This window comes from Homo sapiens, chromosome 12 (assembly GCF_000001405.40).
Source record: "Homo sapiens chromosome 12, GRCh38.p14 Primary Assembly".
NCBI classification, from domain to species: Eukaryota; Metazoa; Chordata; class Mammalia; order Primates; family Hominidae; genus Homo; species Homo sapiens.
Genome location: NC_000012.12, coordinates 93,772,498 through 93,791,147, shown reverse-complemented (window position 1 = coordinate 93,791,147; position 18,650 = coordinate 93,772,498). Strand labels below are relative to the sequence as shown.

At 39.4% G+C, this 18,650-nt stretch overlaps 1 protein-coding gene across 6 annotated transcripts in view, besides 4 other annotated features; it reads right to left on the bottom strand.

Moving 5' to 3' along the window:
* CRADD (CARD and death domain containing adaptor protein) overlaps positions 1 to 18,650 on the bottom strand; it is a 217,466-nt gene that overhangs the window by 103,693 nt on the left and 95,123 nt on the right. The gene's annotated exons all lie outside the window — the stretch shown is intronic.
* Positions 4,872 to 6,071: an enhancer, noted in NCBI's record as "P300/CBP strongly-dependent group 1 enhancer chr12:94178853-94180052 (GRCh37/hg19 assembly coordinates)". NCBI's record gives its function as "activates an origin of replication core promoter dependent on BRD2, BRD4, P300/CBP, MED14 and CDK7 cofactors, with strong dependence on P300/CBP, by STARR-seq in HCT116 cells {active_cell/tissue: HCT116}" and the evidence as "EXISTENCE:reporter gene assay evidence [ECO:0000049][PMID:35650434]".
* Positions 6,084 to 6,583: an enhancer, noted in NCBI's record as "H3K27ac hESC enhancer chr12:94178341-94178840 (GRCh37/hg19 assembly coordinates)". NCBI's record gives its function as "activates a minimal SCP1, AML or CMV promoter by ChIP-STARR-seq in naive H9 embryonic stem cells {active_cell/tissue: H9 hESC(naive)}" and the evidence as "EXISTENCE:reporter gene assay evidence [ECO:0000049][PMID:30033119]".
* Positions 6,084 to 6,695: a biological region, named in NCBI's record as "Sharpr-MPRA regulatory region 12336".
* Positions 6,401 to 6,695: a silencer, noted in NCBI's record as "tiled region #12336; HepG2 Repressive DNase unmatched - State 4:PromP, and K562 Repressive DNase matched - State 5:Enh". NCBI's record gives its function as "represses a minimal TATA promoter and a strong SV40 promoter by Sharpr-MPRA in HepG2 and K562 cells {active_cell/tissue: HepG2 | K562}" and the evidence as "EXISTENCE:reporter gene assay evidence [ECO:0000049][PMID:27701403]".

Sequence of the window (18,650 nt, the reverse complement as noted above, 5' to 3'; positions counted from 1 at the left end):
TCATACGATAGTTCCATTTTTAGTTTTTTGAAGAAATTCCATACTGTTTTCCATAATGGTTGTACTAATTTACATAATATAGTATTTTAAAAATCTTTTTCTCTGCAACAGCTCCTGTGGTAGCAGAGATCCCAACCCCAATGTATGAATGAAAAGGCAGGAAGTCGGGGGGTGGGGAGTGATTAGTCATCTGTAGGACTATCAAGAGTGTGTGTGTGTGTGTGTGTGTGTGTGTCATGTATATGGCATTTTATTTCTTGGAGGAGATGCAGATACTCAATAATCACTGTTAATTAAGTGATTTTTTTAAGTAGATGATTATGCTCATAAGAAATTCAAAATCTGGGACCTAGAGTCAATTCCTAAGGTCAGGAGTACAGATCATGCTTACCTGAAGAACTGTTCTGGTTTTTCAAATTTATTATAATCCTCCATTCTTCTAGCACAGCTGTCTCTTGCCTAAAGAAAAGCCAGTGGATTAAACCACAGATTTCATTCTCTGACTCGCTACGAAAAGGATTTTAGGGGATTTCCATCAAGAACCATATAAAACCATATAAATATTACACAAATATAGACTGTAAGCCAGAAAACTATAAATAAATAGAAATTTGAGACCAGCGAAAATATACACACAAGTATGCAGACCATGCTTTAGTTGAGTTTCTTTTTTTTTTATTATTATCATAATACTTTAAGTTTTAGGGTACATGTGCACAATGTGCAGGTTAGTTACATATGTATACATGTGCCATGCTGGTGTGCTACACCCATTAACTCGTCATTTAGCATTAGGTATATTTCCTAAAGCTATCCCTTCCCCCTCCCCCCACCTATAGTTGAGTTTCAAGTTTATCTCTGAGTATCTTGGGGGCCAAAAAGAAGAAAGCAGCAGCATCCATTAAAGTTATTAGAAATGATAATGTATGTTGTTTTCACCCAGAGAAACAAAGCTCTTTCTGCGGCTATAGGTTCCACAAGACATTTTTCAAATGAGTAGCAGAGTTGACAACATCCTTAACTCTGGGACCTGTGGCCAGAACTTAAACTTCTTAGGAGTTCCTAAAAAACTGTACTAAGTGACAAGCTCCCCAGAGGGTAGGAGAGGCTTGTGTTCCATTTACAGAGGCAGTACGAACACACAGTTTCCCAAAACCACAACTACTACCTTTAGAGTTCAGGCTACTTTCACATATTGTGAAATTTTAGATAAGAGGACCCAAAACAACAAGACATCTGTGGAGGGAGGAGAACAAAACAGAGAATAACTTAGACTGTGTTTGATTTTCCTTTCTAGAAGCTATCTTCTACAGAAAAACATCTCCTTTCCAAATTTTCCCTTCTTTCAGCATAATAAAGGTATACCATTTTTAACTACTTTATTGAGGTATACTTGATACACAGGAAACTGCACATATTTAAAGCATGCAATTTGATATGCTTTCACACATGTATCCAACCATGAAACAGTCCCCACCAGCAAGGTGATGTGCACACCCCTCATCCCTCAAAGTCTCTGCCTGCCCCTTTGTCATCCCTCCCTTCCACCACACTCTATGCCTCATCTCCAGCAAACACTGAGCTGCTTCCAATTTTTTAAAGATACATGATTTTTTAGAAAATGTTTCAAATCAGAAACTAAAGTCTATACTGAACATTATTGTTTTACATGTGCTCCTTAGTCATCCCCTGGCTCTTCTAAACCAATCGTCATCCTGTCTCTAAAGTGATTAGAAATACTGGAAGTCGAATACTGTATCTTCAGTTCTTTCATGCTCCTGCAGAGTTGGCTATGTCAAGGCTGCATGCACAGCCTGTTCAGGAAAAGTGGATGGACCACCTTTCCCCTGAAGCACATCTCCAGCTTCCCAGGCAATCCGCTGGAGGCAAGCTACACACATTCTGAAAATAAATGACTGCATCAGGTACTTCTTAGCCTCTGCTTGGGGAGAAACACTGACCTAGCCTCTCACAGAAAAACTCTGGTACTCTGGGAAATACGAAGATTTTGTCAGTCAACATAGGAAGTGGGAAAGAGAAAGATGGGGCAGGGGAGATTAAAAAATAAAAAAAAGGAACCACCACCCCAGTCTCTCACCTTGAAGTGGTTGACCACCAAGGATAAGACATACAAATAATGCACACAGAAAAAGAGCTAAGAACTGTAGAACACAGTGCTCCAGGGGTCCAAAGGAAGGAGAGGTGCTTCTATTTCAGAGTAGCCCAGGCTCCACTATGGAAAGGCTGATGACGACAGGGACTAACATCCACAGTTCCCCAAAGGCTCTCCCGTGCCCTGTCTCCTGTGATTCCCACAAGAGTGCTGTGAATAAAACAGTGGTATTGGTTTCCCTTAAATGGTGGGAAAACTGAACCTTGTATAGGTCAGGAGACTGCTAAAGAGAGGCAGAGCTGGGGCTGGAAAGTTTGTCTTTTGATCCCAATGCCATTGCTGTTTCTATGACACCAGACAGCGTTCTCAGGTGGAGGATATCTAGACAACTAGACAACAACTACCTCACACCCTCCCTTTAAAATCAAGAACATTCCTGAATCAAGAATAGTCAAGAGACAAAAATAAATTTTAAAAAATCAAGAACATCATTCTAACAAGGGTCCAGTGGTACATTTGCTAAGGAGGTGCTCTGAGAGCCACCACTGGGCCTCAGAGACCACACACACTGTGGTCAGGTGTTGATACGGGTTGGCTGTGTCCCCACCCAAATCTCATCTTGAATTGTAGCTCCCATAATCCCCACGTGTCATGAGAGGGACAAGGTGGAGATAACTGAATCATGAGGATGGTTTCCTCCATCCTGTTCTCGTAATAGTGAGTGAGTTCTCACGAGATCTGATGGTTTTATAAGAGGTTTCTCCCTTCGCTGGGTACTCATTCTCTCTCCTGCCACCTTGTGAAGAGGTGCCTTCCACCATAATTCCCGAGGCCTCCCCAGCCTGAGAAACTGTGAGTCAATTAAATCTCTTTCCTTTAGAAATTACCCAGTGTTGGGTATTTCTTCATAGCAGCATAAGAACAGACTAATACAGGTGACATGGCAGAGATGGGTTTCCTCCAGAGCGTACACACATTCCAATGGTCATGAGATGAGCCATATTTCAAATGCAATAAAGAGACTTACCACTTCACAACCTCCAAATAATCCTACAAGGAAAAGACAGGATAATTACCAACACTACTATTAATTACTCTCAAGTTTCTTGTTGAGTGAGTTTGCATTCTTGAAGATCAGGCTTCCTTAGGTGAAGCATGCTCATGGCCTCACCATCCTCACCATGGTAAGTGATAATGCCTGCCATACAGTGGACTCCAAAAGATGTTTGTGGAATGAACAAATGAGGTCAATAGGCCACACTACAGAACTCTTTAATTCTCATGTTAAACATGCTGATAGGAAATTATCTGTCCCTAAATCATGGCAGAATAATCACAGTCAGCTATGAGGCAATCCTTTCCAGTTTGGATAGTTTTAAAGAACTTGGTATAAGCATGTATTTCTTTCCATTAAGGTCCTTTGAGAGTGGATCTTATTTGTTTCATTTTCTTGGAGAAAATCTATCCCTGAACTTGAAAAAACAACATTTCAAAGGAAAAAACAAAGACACTGAGTTTGCTAAGAGGTTAAGTACAAGGTTCAGCAGACGTACTACAACACATGCACATGTGAGCACCACTTATTTCAAAGTTAGCCTGTTAGGGAGCTACAAATATATTCCAGTGATACTGGTTTGGGGCAAAAAATGTGCAGAATGCCTTTTTGGAACTATCTTTTTCTCTACAATCAGTTGATGTGATATTAAAAAAAAAAAAAAAAAAAAAAAAACCCTGTCATACTACTTTACAGTCCTGGCTCGTTTTTAACGAAAAATTACTCTAGCCAGTTTAACCACCACCCATGAGGCTGACTTAGTGATGAACAACTCTTGGCCAGTCCCTGACATCAAATCCACCTTCTAAGAATAAATACCACTAGGGTAAAAAAAAAAAAAAAAAAAAAAAATCTTCAGCAGAATGTGCTAAGGGCTCTAAAAGTAAATTCCAAAGAGAGACTTCAAAGATATTTTGAGCAATAGCAACATTATTGGAAGATATGTATAACCTCTCAAAGTGGACTCATACACAATTTGCACAAACTGCAATATAAATCCTTAAATAGCCGAAACATACTTGTAGGCAACAATTCCATTATGTTTTGGTCATCTTTACATTATTCCCCTGGCATAGTGCCTAGTACATAGTAGGGCATGCAGCAAATGTTTTCAAAATTAGATTTTCTATGGGAATAAAGTACAGAATTACCATTAGTCACAGAAGGGCCATTACTCACTAGACTTTTGTCCTAAGGAGAAAATGATGTCTCGTGTTTCCTCATTGTCAAAGGTGGGTTTTATTGCTTTAGGGGCTCTACCTCAAGACAGTAACTGACAGATCTATTTGGTTTTACTGCCTTCTACCTCTACTGGCAAGTAGAAAACTTATCCCTCTGAATGTTGTCTCTTAAAGAAATCTTTATTTTAAAACAACTAAAATGTAAATTGAAGGGATTTCAGAATCTATAAAGAAGCGCTGGCATCTACTACACTTTTAAAAACTGTGAGCAACTGGCCATCAAGACAAAAATTTAAAAATTATACAGGATCTACCTCCATAGAAAAGGTAATGGAATTCCCTTTGAGGATGTGCCTACTATGTATACTTAATACATAGTACCCGCAGTCTTCAGGAAATCCTACAAAAGAGGTATTATCATTCTCATTTCTACAGATAAAGAAACTTGAAGCTTTGAGAAGTTAAATACAGATGTATACGTTTACACATTCCTTAGAGGGCAGAGCTAAGGTTCAAATTTAGGTCTGTTAGAATCCAGGTCTGTCCTTCATCTCTCAACTGTGGAGTTTATTCCAGAAGTCTAAAGCAGAGGGCCCACTGGCCAGCCAAAGGGGGCCTAAAACAGTGATTTGATAAACATGAATGAATTGCCAAAGTTTAGAAATATGAGGTTTTGCATAAAACATGGATTTGTACCTCCATTATATCAAACCTACATCATTCGTGTCTTCATAGGCCCGGCAGTTAATGCTTTTGAGTCTGTGACCTTTGCTATTCCCTGCTGCCTCCCCAACACTTTCTTTTAAAGGAAAAACCAAACCTAATGCTCCACCAGTCCTGTCTTACCTGTATATCCCACAGGAATTTAGAATCATACCATTTTGATGAAGTAAGATACAATCACTGAGATCAAGTACACGACTTTATGGTGAATTTAAGGCCAAAGGGTCACGTGACTTGTTCATGGTCACAAGCTACAGGCCTCGATCCCATACGTCCTTATTCTTGTCTGCTCTGCTACTCAGATTCTCACTGGCAACCAAACATATATATGATTTAATGGCCTGTGAAGTAGGGTAACACCATTCTTCCACAATTCCCTTTGAAATGACTATCATGAGCTTGCATTTCTGATGAACATGCTGGAACTGCTAAGACTTCACATCTATTTTCTTTCATTTGCCAAAAGTCCCCTATAAATAAATCACTCAGCTTCCACATATCCTCTCCTTGGTCTCCCATTCCTGTTCTGCCAGGAGCTGCCAGCAGTAGCTGTGGTTGAATACTGAAGGGGAAAAGAAGCTACAAAGGAAGCCCCAGTGGAGCATCTTTGACTTCTAACCCATAGGCCAGGGGATCGGGAAGACGCATACCAGTGAGTGACTCATAGGTCACACATACCAGTGGGTGACTCAAGCCACTACCCTTTGGAGTAGACACAATTTTTATTTTCATTTCGGATGTTCGTCAGAGGAAATCAGTTTGAATCATTTTCAATTATGTAAATACTAAAGCATATTTCAACCACATAAGATGGTAAAATTTTCTCCTCCTTTCTCTCAAAGGTACTAAGTTTATCAAATTAAATGATAAAACTTCCTCTCCCAGACTAGGAAAATACACCAAAAAATAGCTTGCCAATTGAAAATTATTTTTAGAGGTGTTTGGAGTATATGCATTATCAAACATAGTTCCTATTTTAAAAAAAAAAGCAAAACACAACATTGTACTTATTCCAATGTTTCTATATGTGACTGAAGCCAGAAACTGTATTTGTCAAAATATCATTCTTTTGAGGAAAGTGATCAAATTAATAACGAGTTGTGCCTGAAGAGGTTTTGGAATCTCAAAGTAAGCAGGCTCTGTACTTTTCTAATTAATGAAGAACAGACAGCTCTTTATTAAGAAGAATCGACTTTTTATTTATACCAAAGTGGTGTTTCTTTGACATTTGTTTTTATTTCATTGCTGACCTACTTTCTTTCTGACAGTCTTGAATGAATATCTATTCTTATGTCCTTTAACCGTCTTGCAAGGTAGCCAGGCCAACTGGCTTTCCCCCTGGACAGTAAATCACTCTGGGACTCTGTGTTCTAATATCAACTCGGCCAGAGATTTGCCACGTGTGCTTTATCAGACTCTCCATCTCTTCTGCTTGACTTCAGACATCTGCAAAGCTGAAAAACAGCTCTGACACAGAACAAAGGGTTTTAAGGTGCTCTGAAAGCCCACAGAGGGCCAAACCATGACAGCTGTGGATTAGCACGTGCTCACTTCATTCTGCTGGTGCTTGGAGACTGCACAGTGGTTAGAAGAGGAAAGGCTCAGGGGTCAGACGGCCTGGGTTTAGAGCCCAGCTCTGCCATTTATTAACCGTGCAACCTTGGGCAACTCACTTAACCTCTCTGTGCTGCGGCCACCTCAGCTATAAAATGGGACATTGAGAGTTAAACATGATTAGATATTCAAAAGACTTAGTGCAGTGCCTGTCATACCATAAAACTTAGTAAATATCAGCAGTATTTATTATTTTTCCATTTTTGATGCCCTCACTGACATGCCCTGAGTGTGAGTAAAATTTTGTCATTCAGCTTGACTATATTTAGCGCCTCGATTCTTGAAGGAAACAACGTCAGAACCATTAGTATAATTTCCTAAGATCTAGTCAGACATCTCTAGGGCATAAATTGTTACGTGGGACCAGCCATGAAGTACCGCACTGCAGGTGTTTTGGAAAGTCGCACTAAATCTAAGCAGAGGATGTGAACCCCGTGCACCCTGCAGCAAGAGTTTGGCGAGGTGGCTTGCTACTCACTCTCTTCCCTGACTGATGTCTGGTTCTGACATCCAGAGCATGACACATGACAGATGACAGCGACACATCTGCACATGCCCACCAGCACACCCAGGTTTTACAAAAGCCAATGTCATTTTTTCAGTAAGTAAACAAAATAGTGGCACAAGGGATGTGCAGAATTTCACTTGTTCATTTGCTTTGACATTTTTAGGGAATTTCTTGTGATAGTCCTAAAAATATTTTACAAACACATGAAAAATGAAATTAGCCATTTTTCTCAGGCTTCGACTTCTAACAAAAAAGATTATCAAATATAAGCTTTTGAAGAACAAGCATAAATAAATGTTATTTTATGGCTTAAAGTTACAATTTATAGGCTTTTACTCTTTTCTGAATATGAAGAAAGTTGCCACACATTTTGCTTTTATCACTGCTTGCCTTTGATGAAATCTTTGTAATTGTTACAGTAACAACCATACCTTGCATCTTTCTCACATGCAAAAAACACAAATGCTACTCCACTTGATCTATCTTAATTTACTCATTGTTTAAAATTTATCCATAAACAAAATTAAAAATAAAAAAACTTAAAAATTATAAAATCAGAGGACTACTCCTGGGAGCCAGCATAAAATAAAACAAAAGAGCTCAGATTTTGGACACAGGCAGACCTGGATTTGTGGGTGAGAAACTTAGTCCCTTCTCTGCTTTGATTTCCTCATCTGTAAAATAATAATAATAATAATAATAATAATAATAATAATAATAATAATACCTATACCTGTAACTTGGAAGGCTGATGGTACCAGGACAGTCCCTGGGGGAAAATGTGGCCCAGCAAATGATTTCTTAAGAAATAGAAGGAAAGTAAAAAGGAAAGGAAAGAGGCAAAAAAGGAGGGAGTAGCAGTGACTCTCCCCAGGCTATACAAATTGGGTTATAACCCAGGCCTTCTGCCAAAATTCTGCCTCTCAAATAGAACACTTGACTGTTTTTATTATGTGAATTTTCCATACATAACAAAGTAGAGGAAAGTGTAAAGAACCCCCAAAAACCTATCACCAAGCTTCAACAATTATTATATTTTACCATTCTGATTTCACGTATTTCCCTATACACATACTTTTTTTCTTTTGAAGGAGTATTTTTTAAAGAGTCTTAGGCCTCATATTAATTCATTAATAAGTGCTTCTAAATAGATAAGGACTTTTAAAACTCACAATACCACCAACTCAATAAAATTACCAGTAATTCCTTAGTAACATGTAATAAACAGAGTATGTTTTATTTTTGCCTGTTTAAAAAAAAAGGCATTTTTTTAGTTAGTCAGTTGTTCAAATCAAGTTCCAAACAAGATTCATACCTGCATTTGGTTTACAGGTCCCTTAAGTCTTTTTTTTTTTTTTTTCCTGAGACGGAGTCTCGCTGTTGCCCAGGTTGGAGTGCAGTGGCGTGATCTCAGCTCACTGCAGGCTCCATCTCCCACCCTTAAGTCTTTTTGTTTTTTTTAATTATACTTTAAGTTTTAAGGTACATGTGCACAATGTGCAGGTTTGTTACATATGTTTACATGTGCCATGTTGGTGTGCTGCACCCATTAACTCCTCATTTAGCATTAAGTGTATCTCCTAATGCTATCCCTCCCCCCTCCCCCAACCCCACAACAGTCCCCGGTGTGTGATGTTCCCCTTCCTGTGTCCATGTGTTCTCATTGTTCAATTCCCACCTATGAGTGAGAACATGCAGTGTTTGGTTTTTTGTCCTTGCGATAGTTTGCTGAGAATGCTGGTTTCCAGTTTCATCCATGTCCCTACAAAGGACATGAACTCATCATTTTTATGGCTGCATAGTATTCCATGGTGTATATGTGCCACATTTTCTTAATCCAGTCTATCATTGTTGGATATTTGGGTTGGTTCCAAGTCTTTGCTATTGTGAATAGTGCCGCTATAAACATACGTGTGCATGTGTCTTTATAGCAGCATGATTTATAATCCTTTGGGTATATACCCAGTAATGGGATGGCTGGGTCAAATGGTATTTCTAGTTCTAGATCCCTGAGGAATCGCCACACTGATTTCCACAATGGTTGAACTAGTTTACAGTACTTAACAGTTCCCCATCTCTACTTTTTTCTCGTAGCATTTATATACTGAAAACAAAAATGGGTCATTTGTTTTGTAGAACTTCCTACATTCAGGCATTGGCTGATCTGTACCCTTGTAGTGGTGTTTAGCATGTTCCTCTGTCTCCCGTATTTCCTATAACCTGGTATTAATAGTTAGATGTGCATGTTTGATGAGCTTCTGGTTCAGCCTCGTTGAGGGAGGGGATGTGGGTAAGAATACTTCACAGGTGGTGCTGTTTCTTTTCTATCAGATCACATTGGAGGAGCATAACTAACGTTCGGCTGTTCCACTTTTAGTGATATGGAGACTGATCCGTGGGTTCAAGTGTTGTCAGCCTGATTCTCTGTTAGAAAGCACCAATTTTACCTGATTTTATCATTCATTAATGGTTGTTGCTTAGCTCCATTACTTCATTAGATGCTACAAAACTGTAGGTTTTTAAAACTTTTCTAGCACCCTTCTGCATTTATTAGCTGTAATTCTCTATAAAGTAAATAGGAAAGCAGGGGTGGATGTGAGATCTCCTTTTTAAATCCATTTTCAGAACAATGACTTGGTGCCCTAACAATCTCAGAAGTGACAAATGCGGGATTTTTTTGTCTTATTGTCTTGTGTCTTTAGAATTTTGTCATAAACTCATGGACTTTTATATATTTTTATATATTTCAATCCTTTTGATGCTCAAACTGTCTCATCTTTGCCCTCTGGGGGATCCCCTCAGGTTGGCTTCTGAATCATTCTGACATGATCCCAGCAGTCTCTTTGATGGCTTTGCTCTAGATGGTTCAAAGAGAACCTTTAAAAAAAAGTAACCAAGAGGCTGGGCACGGTGGCTCACACTTGTAATCCCAGCACTTTGGGAGGCTGAGGCGGGTGGATTACTTGAAGTCAGGAGTTCGAGACCAGCCTGGCCAATATAGCAAAACCGTGTCTCTACTAAAAATACAAAAAAAAAAAAAAATAGCTGGGCATGGTGGCATGTGCCTGTAATCCCAGCTATGCAGGAGGCTGAGGCTGAGATATGAGAATCACTTGAACCTAGGAGGCAGGGGTTGCAGTGAGCCAAGATCACACCACTGCACTCCAGCCTGGGCAACAGAAGGAAGAGACTCTGTCTCAAAAAAAAAAAAAAGGTAATCAAGAACGTCTTTATGTGTTGTTTATCATTTTGATATTCCATTTTCCTTGTTTCACAGCAATTACACACTGTGGCTCTTCAATAACATCTACTGGCATGTGTTTGTTTATGTGCCTTACAATATAATTTAAACCAAAAAAATGCAATCCTGTTGAAAACACTAGATGTGACAGGCATGGGAATCAGGGAGTCCAGTGAAAAGAGCCAGGCTTTGAAGTTAGTCAGACCTTGATCTGAATCCCAGCCCATCATTTACCGACTGTGTAACTTCAGGTTTGTCATTAAATCTTCCTGTGCCTCGGTTTTCTCATCTGTAAATGGGATTGATAACAGTAATATCTACCGCGCACGCCTGCCAGTAAGTACTTTAAAAAGCAACTAAATTCTCTTTTACAGTACTCAGTCCTGAATAGAAACTCAGGAAATTGTAGTCACAACTATTATTATCATTATCTATCGTGCATGCTTCAGTTTATCCTTAACTATGTTTATGTTACACATTCCAGTTTGAACATCATTGTCTTTAATAGAGAAAGAGAAGCCAAATAGTTGAGTAGGTCTGTTTTTCGTCATATTTTAACATTATTCCATCTGCCCCAAGCAACGAGCTTAGCCTTTACTTGTTTTTCTTGTTATGAACATAGCTTTAAAGAGAGCTTTCTTGTTGTCTTTAACATTCTCTTCAGCTTCAGCTCAGTATGAACTTGTGCTTTGCAGATATTTTCTTACCGGTTTACGCCACTCTTCTGAATTTGTCCCTGATCATGTGCTTGTCTTTCAATCTTCTATACATGTTCTCTTAATATCCAAGCCCATCAAAAATTCCTTGATCTTAAAATGGTTCCTGGGCCAGGCGCGGTGGCTCATGCCTGTAATCCCAGCACTTTGGGAGACTAAGGCGGGCAGATCACCTGAGGTCAGGAGTTCGAGACCAGCCTGGCCAACATGGTGAAACTCTCTCTACCAAAAAATACAAAAATTAGCCAGACATGGTGGTGGGCACCTGTAGTCCCAGCTACTCCAGAGGCTAAGCCAGGAGAATCGCTTGAACCCAGGAGGTGGAGGTTGCAGTGGGCCGAGATTGCACCACTGCACTCCAGCCTGGGTGACAGAGTGAGACTCTGTCTCAAAAAAAAAAAAAAAAGGTTCTTTCTTTTTCCTCATTCCCTCAAAAGATGATTTTGCTGTCAGAAACTTTCTTTTTATTTCTCTATTTCCTTTCTTCTTTTTATTTTTTTGTACTCTTTTCAAGTCTCTATATGTTGAAAAATCCCTCTATATATTGAAAAATCTATGTTTTTTTCCTTTGAAATATATTTTCCTAAAATCACCACTACTATTTGGTTATGTCCAACTTTTCTTTCTTTTGAAGTTACCAAACAATACTATCATGGTTACTCCCGCCCAAGGTTTTAGTCAATTCTACTTCAATAAAAAATTTTTCTAGATAGTTAGAACTAAGTTCAGGGTAGTATTTCCATCTCATTGCCTCCTCAATCTGTGGTTTAAAAAATAGAAAGGCTTTTCTGGATTGAAACATCTATGTTTCTATGGAATGAAACATTGATCAGACATTGGGTAGAATTAAAGTCCTCATCAATGACTACATCTTGGCTGTGGCGATTTTGATATTTAGCTGAACCTAAGTATGTGTAGTATCAGAATCCAGCAAAATAAAACTCTTTTTCACTTGTCTATACTAACCTATAATCGTTGTTCAGGCATAACGCTTTGGCTCCACTGACAAGAGAACAGGCTGTGTTTTGAAGTTAAATCATGGCAGTTCACAGTCACAATTTCTAAAGGGGCTGGCAAAGGATAAAATCTTATACCCTCAACTCAGTAAGTGGTGGAAACATCTTGCTCTTACATTGTTGAGTTCTCCTGTGAATTCATTGCTACTTCCAGAATCCTAACACAAGAACACAAAAAGAAATTCTAATACAGGCAATAACTAATTATCTTTAAAATGTATTTAGGAGAAACAAACTGAAACCAAAAAAAAAAAAAAACCAACCAAAAAAAAACACCCTGTGTGGCTATGAATAGTGAGTTAAGATTTGGCTAACAGACAAAAATAAACAGCAACTTAGATTGTCTTGCAGTTTAACCTGTCAACATTTTATTCTTCACGTACTGAATGAGAGGAAATTGCATGAGAGAAAGATTGTATTTCAAGAAATCAGCTAAGCATACCAAAGTTTTCCCAAAGGCCTTGACATTGACATAAACAAAGTAAAATCTCTAAGTCTAATAAGTATGGCTAAGCTTAGTTACTCCCTACTCAGCTCCAGGCCTTAGGCTAAGAATAGCAATAAATATAAAAATATCCACCAGTTGTCATTCAACTCGTGCGCATGTGCCAGAATCCCTTGCTTCCTTTCCCTCGCGCTCTGAATCATCAACCAAATTTTCTCTCCCTGCTAAAAGTTTTTTAACAATTCAAAATAAAATCAGTGGAAAAGTTATTTCTTGGAAAGGTTTAAAAGTGGGTGAGATTCCTGTTTATGTCCTAATCACGCACAAAGACTAGTTGTTTAATAACCATGGTATTTTCAAAAATGAAGTTTTTAGAGAATAAAGCATATCCAGGATAGTTAATCAAACACAGTGACAAAGAAAAGGACTTCTGTTTGGTCCAAATTTATTCTGCTATTAGGTCAATACTGAACCACACATGGACTGTCTTGGGCTTCTATACCAAACTGCTGGTAAACAAGCAGTAGCCACCCAAAAATCTTCAAAATGGAACCATGGAGACCTCTGTCCTTTCTGAAGCTGAAAACCTTGTACCTGAAAATAACTAAGAAGATTCGGAGGTCATGGTTTGATTTAATGTATGGAGGTCATGGTTTGATTTAATGTATGCCACGGAGCCACGATGATGGGGAATGAGAAGCAAAGAGCAAGTTCAAACAGCCGCAAGCACCAGGAAAAACGGGCTTTGGTGAAAAAGTGTGTTGATTTCCCTTTAACTTTCCGAGTATACCGTGAGATTAACCCTCATTCCGTTGAGCTAAATTTTATCCATCAGCACAACTCAGAGGTCACTTAAAATCATAACTTCCTTTTAAACATTCTTATGATATTTACTAGCAAACACATTCCAAAAGAACAGTCACTTCCACTATATAGAAAGAGCTTAATTGCTAAATTTAAAACTGACTACACTTATTCACAAATGAGGGCCTCATCTTCGTTGGTGACCCCTAGGTCTTCCTTCTCTTTTCCTTGACTCAGCAGCTGAGCTCAGCTTCCTCTCTCTGACCTTCCTTTTCCAAATGCTGGAGCACAGCAGGCATTTCTAGGTCAGCAAAGGAAACTATTACTGCCTTCCAGGAGAACAGTATCTTCTGTGTATTCGAAGGACTGAACAAGAACAACGAGTAAGAAATTCAGTGTACTAACCTCAGTTCTGACCCTGCCTAGGGCATGGCATCAACTGCCTCTTGTCTCTATTCTGTTAGGGGAAAAAACTCCACCATCCACCCCTAGAGCTGATTGTCATCAGCCACCTGAATACCTGGCTCAGCATAGCCTGGCAGAACACCTTCCCCCACCTTGCCTGGCTCGCTGGCTATGGCACTGTCTTCCTGCCCAACCCACAGGCCCGTGAGAATGACCATATCCTCATCCTTTCCATCCTATACCATGCATTCTGCCACCACTTATTTTTTAAATAGTTTTAATGACATAAAATTCACATATTGTAAAATTCACCCATTTAAAGTATGCAATTCAGTGGTTTTTAATATATTCAGAGTTGTGCAACCATCACCACAATCTAATTTTAGAACATTCCCATCATGCCAGAAAGAAACCCTTTACGTATCAGGAGTCATTTCCCAAATCATCCCCACCTCCCGCTCTAAGCAACCACTATCTTCTTTCTGTCTCTATGGATTTGCCTACATGGATATTTCACATAAGTATGCATGGTATCTTATGACTGGCTTACTTCACTTAGCAGCATGCTTTCAAAGGTTATCCACACTGTAGTCTTTATTACTGAATAATACTCCATTGTATGTATATGCCCCATTTTGTTTATCCATTCAGTACTGGATGAACAGTGGGCTGTTTCCACTGTTTGGCTGCTATAAATAATGCTGCTATGCACAAGTTTTTGTGTGAACCTGTGTTTCTGTTTCTCTTGGCCGCCACTTACTTTTAGTACCCACTCTGCTCTTTGTCTCCTCTTCTCTGGCTTCAAGTCCTCTTTAAAAAGAAAAAGCCTTAGGAAACAGGCATTCACATACCCTGCGGATACAATGAAAATGGTACTGCCTTTCTGGAGGACAATTCCCCAATATCTATCAAAATTTTAAATACACACAGTCTTCAAAAAAATTTTAAATACACACACTCTTCAACCTAGAAATTCCATTGCAAGTCCCCTACAAATAACCCCTTTACAAGTTTGCAGATCGCTATAAGGATGTTCTCTGCAACACAGTGCATAATAAATGCAGACATTAAGAAAATAAATTTAAATACTGTTCGATAAGAATCACAGAAAAGCAGTACAGTGGACCACTATTCTGTTGATTAAAATAAAATAAAGTAGAACTATATAATTGTATGAAAGACTGTTCCATATATTAATTAAAGATATCAAATTACAGAAAATGCATATATTAAATGGGTTCTCTCAGATAAAAGAGGATATATTGTGTGTGCTTGAATGTCCATATAAAATTTCTGAAAAGATACTTTTTTAAAGATGAGGATTAAAGGTTTTAGAGAAAGAGAAAATCACTTTGCATTTTATCTCCTTTTTGTACAACTTGAATTGTTACTATAAGGATACTTTAGAATTTAAAATGTATATTTTAAAATAATACAAATACGTCCTAGAGTCCTCTGAAACCCTACTGTGAATCAGCTGGGAAGGGTGTGAGAAAATGAATGCCAAGGAGAGAAGAGACACACCAAAGAGGAGCTAATGATGCTGAAAATGAACATCACCTGTTTCATAATCGACCCCTGGCAACCCTGACTCTAACCTCCAAACGGAAAGCATCATAGGATTCTGACTCCTACCCACATTCTCAGCAAAGCACTATGGTGCTATGGGAGAAGGACAGGTGTCAGACAAGCCTGGGGTACTAAGCCAAGCTCTGCCACTTACTAACTATAAAACTTCCATTCGATCCCCCTTCTCCAAAAATCCTCTACACCAGACTATAGAGTAACCCGTGCTCTTTCACCACTATTTAGTAACTATACTTGAGATGCCAACTCCTAAGCATGTCCATCAGCCCTCCAAAACTCAGCTCTAAATAGTACATCTCACAGAAACCTTTCTGAAAACCAGGCCTCCTAATGCAAACCTATATACGTGTTTGCACATCCTCTACACGGGTGTGTGTCTTCCTCTTCATACTGGTACTTAGTTTACTGTTATTTCATGCATCTTACCCCTGCCCCTACAAATTCTAAGGGTCTGTACCTAACCAAAAATTGCTGGGCACATTGGATCTAAAACTTGCTGGCATGTGATAAAATATTGCTTATTGATGTTTGAGCTGTATCTGGAAGGTTATTTTATTAATCATTTACTGGTAAAAACTTGACAAAATTATCGATGAATGGTAAATGTGAGCACCAAATGCTCACAGGAGCATTGATCATCATTTTGGGTTTTTGTCAGTTTCTTTCTTTCATTTTTCTCAATGCACATCCACAACTGGCCAAGGTGATTTGCACCAACTACACAAACACAAGTGTGTGTATTTCAGGACAGATCAAATTCCCAAAAAACTGTGATCCATTCTTCAAGACCCTGCCTCCATAAAGCTTTCCTTATGCCCTCTCCCTCCCCACCCTAGCAGCTGGTCCCTTCCACCTTGTTGCTTCCTTGCTCCTCATTTCATTTAGTAATTATTGTGTAAATATTTGACACCTTCCTTAGGCTGTGAACATCTTGCTCATCATTGCATCCATATCACCTTGGATGATTTGTTACACATAGGAGGGGACTAAAGAAAAGCTATTTAAACACATGAGTGAGTGAGTGAAGATTAATTTTCACTCTCAGTACAAATTACTGAGAAGCTGTAGAGCCTCCAGCCCTGAGGGTATATCTACCCTAAAATACCAAACCTCTTCTTCCCCAAAGAAAACTGAAGTCTAGCTATCATGATCAGAATAACATCCTTAACCCCCCTCCCACCTCCTAACCCATCTTCACATTCCAAAAGGCAAGGGCAACCCTATGGCAGAAAACAATGATATTTTAAATAATTAAATGCAGAATAAACAGCAGCATTTGGGGAAAGTGGGTTCAAGTTCTGGTCCTGCCACTAAACAGCTGGATGATCTTGCATTGGCCACTAAATTCCTCAAGCCCTCAGGCTCCTCATCTATAAAAGAAGGGGTAAAATCTCTATCACTTCCAAGGCCCCCATCAGCTCTAATACTCTAGGAATCTATGAAGAAGAAAATTCATTTCATTTTTCTTCCTTTCATTTATTCAACAAGTATTACTATATGTTTGTGGTGAACTACATAGTGATGGACTATGTGTTTATTAAACAAATCCATTTTGGTTTTCTCTTAAGCACAAATTTCCCAGGTTCACTTGAAAGTAGCTATGGTGGCCAGAAACAGTGGCTCATGCCTGTAATCCTAGCACTTCAGGAGGCTGAGGTGGGTGGATCACTTGAGCCCAGGAGTTCAAGACCAGCCTGGGCAACAAGGTGAAACCCCATCTCTACAAAAAAAAAAAAAAAATTAGCCAGGTGGAGTGGTGCACACCTGTAGTCCCAGCTACTTGGGAGGCTGAGGAAGGAGGATCGATTGAGCCCAGGTGGTCAAGCCTGATCACACCATTGCACTAGAGCCTGGACAACCACACCACTGCACTAGAGCCTGGACAACAGAACAAGACCCTGTCTCAAAAAAAAAAAAAAAAAAAAAACTCACAAAGTAGGTATGGCTATGAGTTCTAGCCAATGTAATCTGAGTGGAAGCAATGTGCCCTACCTCCAGCCTGGCCTTCTGCACAATCCATGTTCACTCTCTCCCGTCTCCTGCCAGCCAGAGACAGATGATTCAATGAGGGTTCCAAGGCCTTAGAAAATGACAAGGCCACTAGATGAAAGATATCTGGGTCCCTGAATGTCTGCATGAAGCAAAGCCCTCCTCTTTCTTCCAGCAGGAAATAACCTGTATTAGTCTGTTTCACACTGCTGATACAGACATACCCAAGACTGGGAAGTTTACAAAAGACATTTAATGGACTTACCGTTCCATGTGGTGGGGAGGCTTCACAATCATGGCAGAAGGTGAAAGGCACACCTCACATGGCAGCAGACCAGATGAGAGCTTGTGCAGGGAAACTCCCCCTTATATAATCATCAGATCCCGTGAGACTCATTCGTCACCACCAGAACAGCACAGGAAAGGCCTGCCCCCATGATTCAACTACCTCCCACTGGGTCCCTCCCACAACATGTGGGAATTCAAGATGAGATGTGAGTGGGGACACAGTCAAACCACATCATAACCTAAGTTAAACCACTGAGATTTGGAGTTCTTTGTTACAGCAGAGAGCCTACTCTGACTTACGTAAGACATATTGCATATATACTGTCATGTTTAACCCTCTTAACAACCTGACTGGTAAATATTACTATTTATATTTTACAGATGAGGAAATTGAGTCTCAGTGAAGGGAAGTAACTTGCTCAACATCATACTGCTTCAAAGTGGCACAGGCAACATTTGAACCTATGCATCTCTAACTCCAAAGTTCATCTTCTTTATTTTTTGGGAGATGATTGCTACCAAAGCTCCTCTATACTTCCCTCCTTGCTTCTGGGTACCCTTCCCAGTTGCAAACAGTTCCTGCAGGTGCCGCTCCTACATAAATACACTTGCTACTGAGAAGCAGTGCAGGGCACGATCAGCAGGCCTAGCTAGGAAACCAGAGGCAAAGGAAGGCCAGAACCAGGCTTTGCTGTCCAGTCCAACCCTGGATCTGACTCAATCAGTCTGTGAACAGTAGAAGATAAAAGCTCCTACTAAGCCCATATCTTCAGAAATATCAATAATATGCTCTAGGAAATAATCCAGAGATGACTATACTATTTTAATTTTCCCTTAAAAGAGTCAATCTAACATCATTAAGAGTGATATTTAAATGCTAATTGAAAAAGCACTGTTCCCATATCTCTAGACAAGTATTTGCATGTTAATTAATTCTGGGGATAAGAAGACCGGCTTCCAATATGA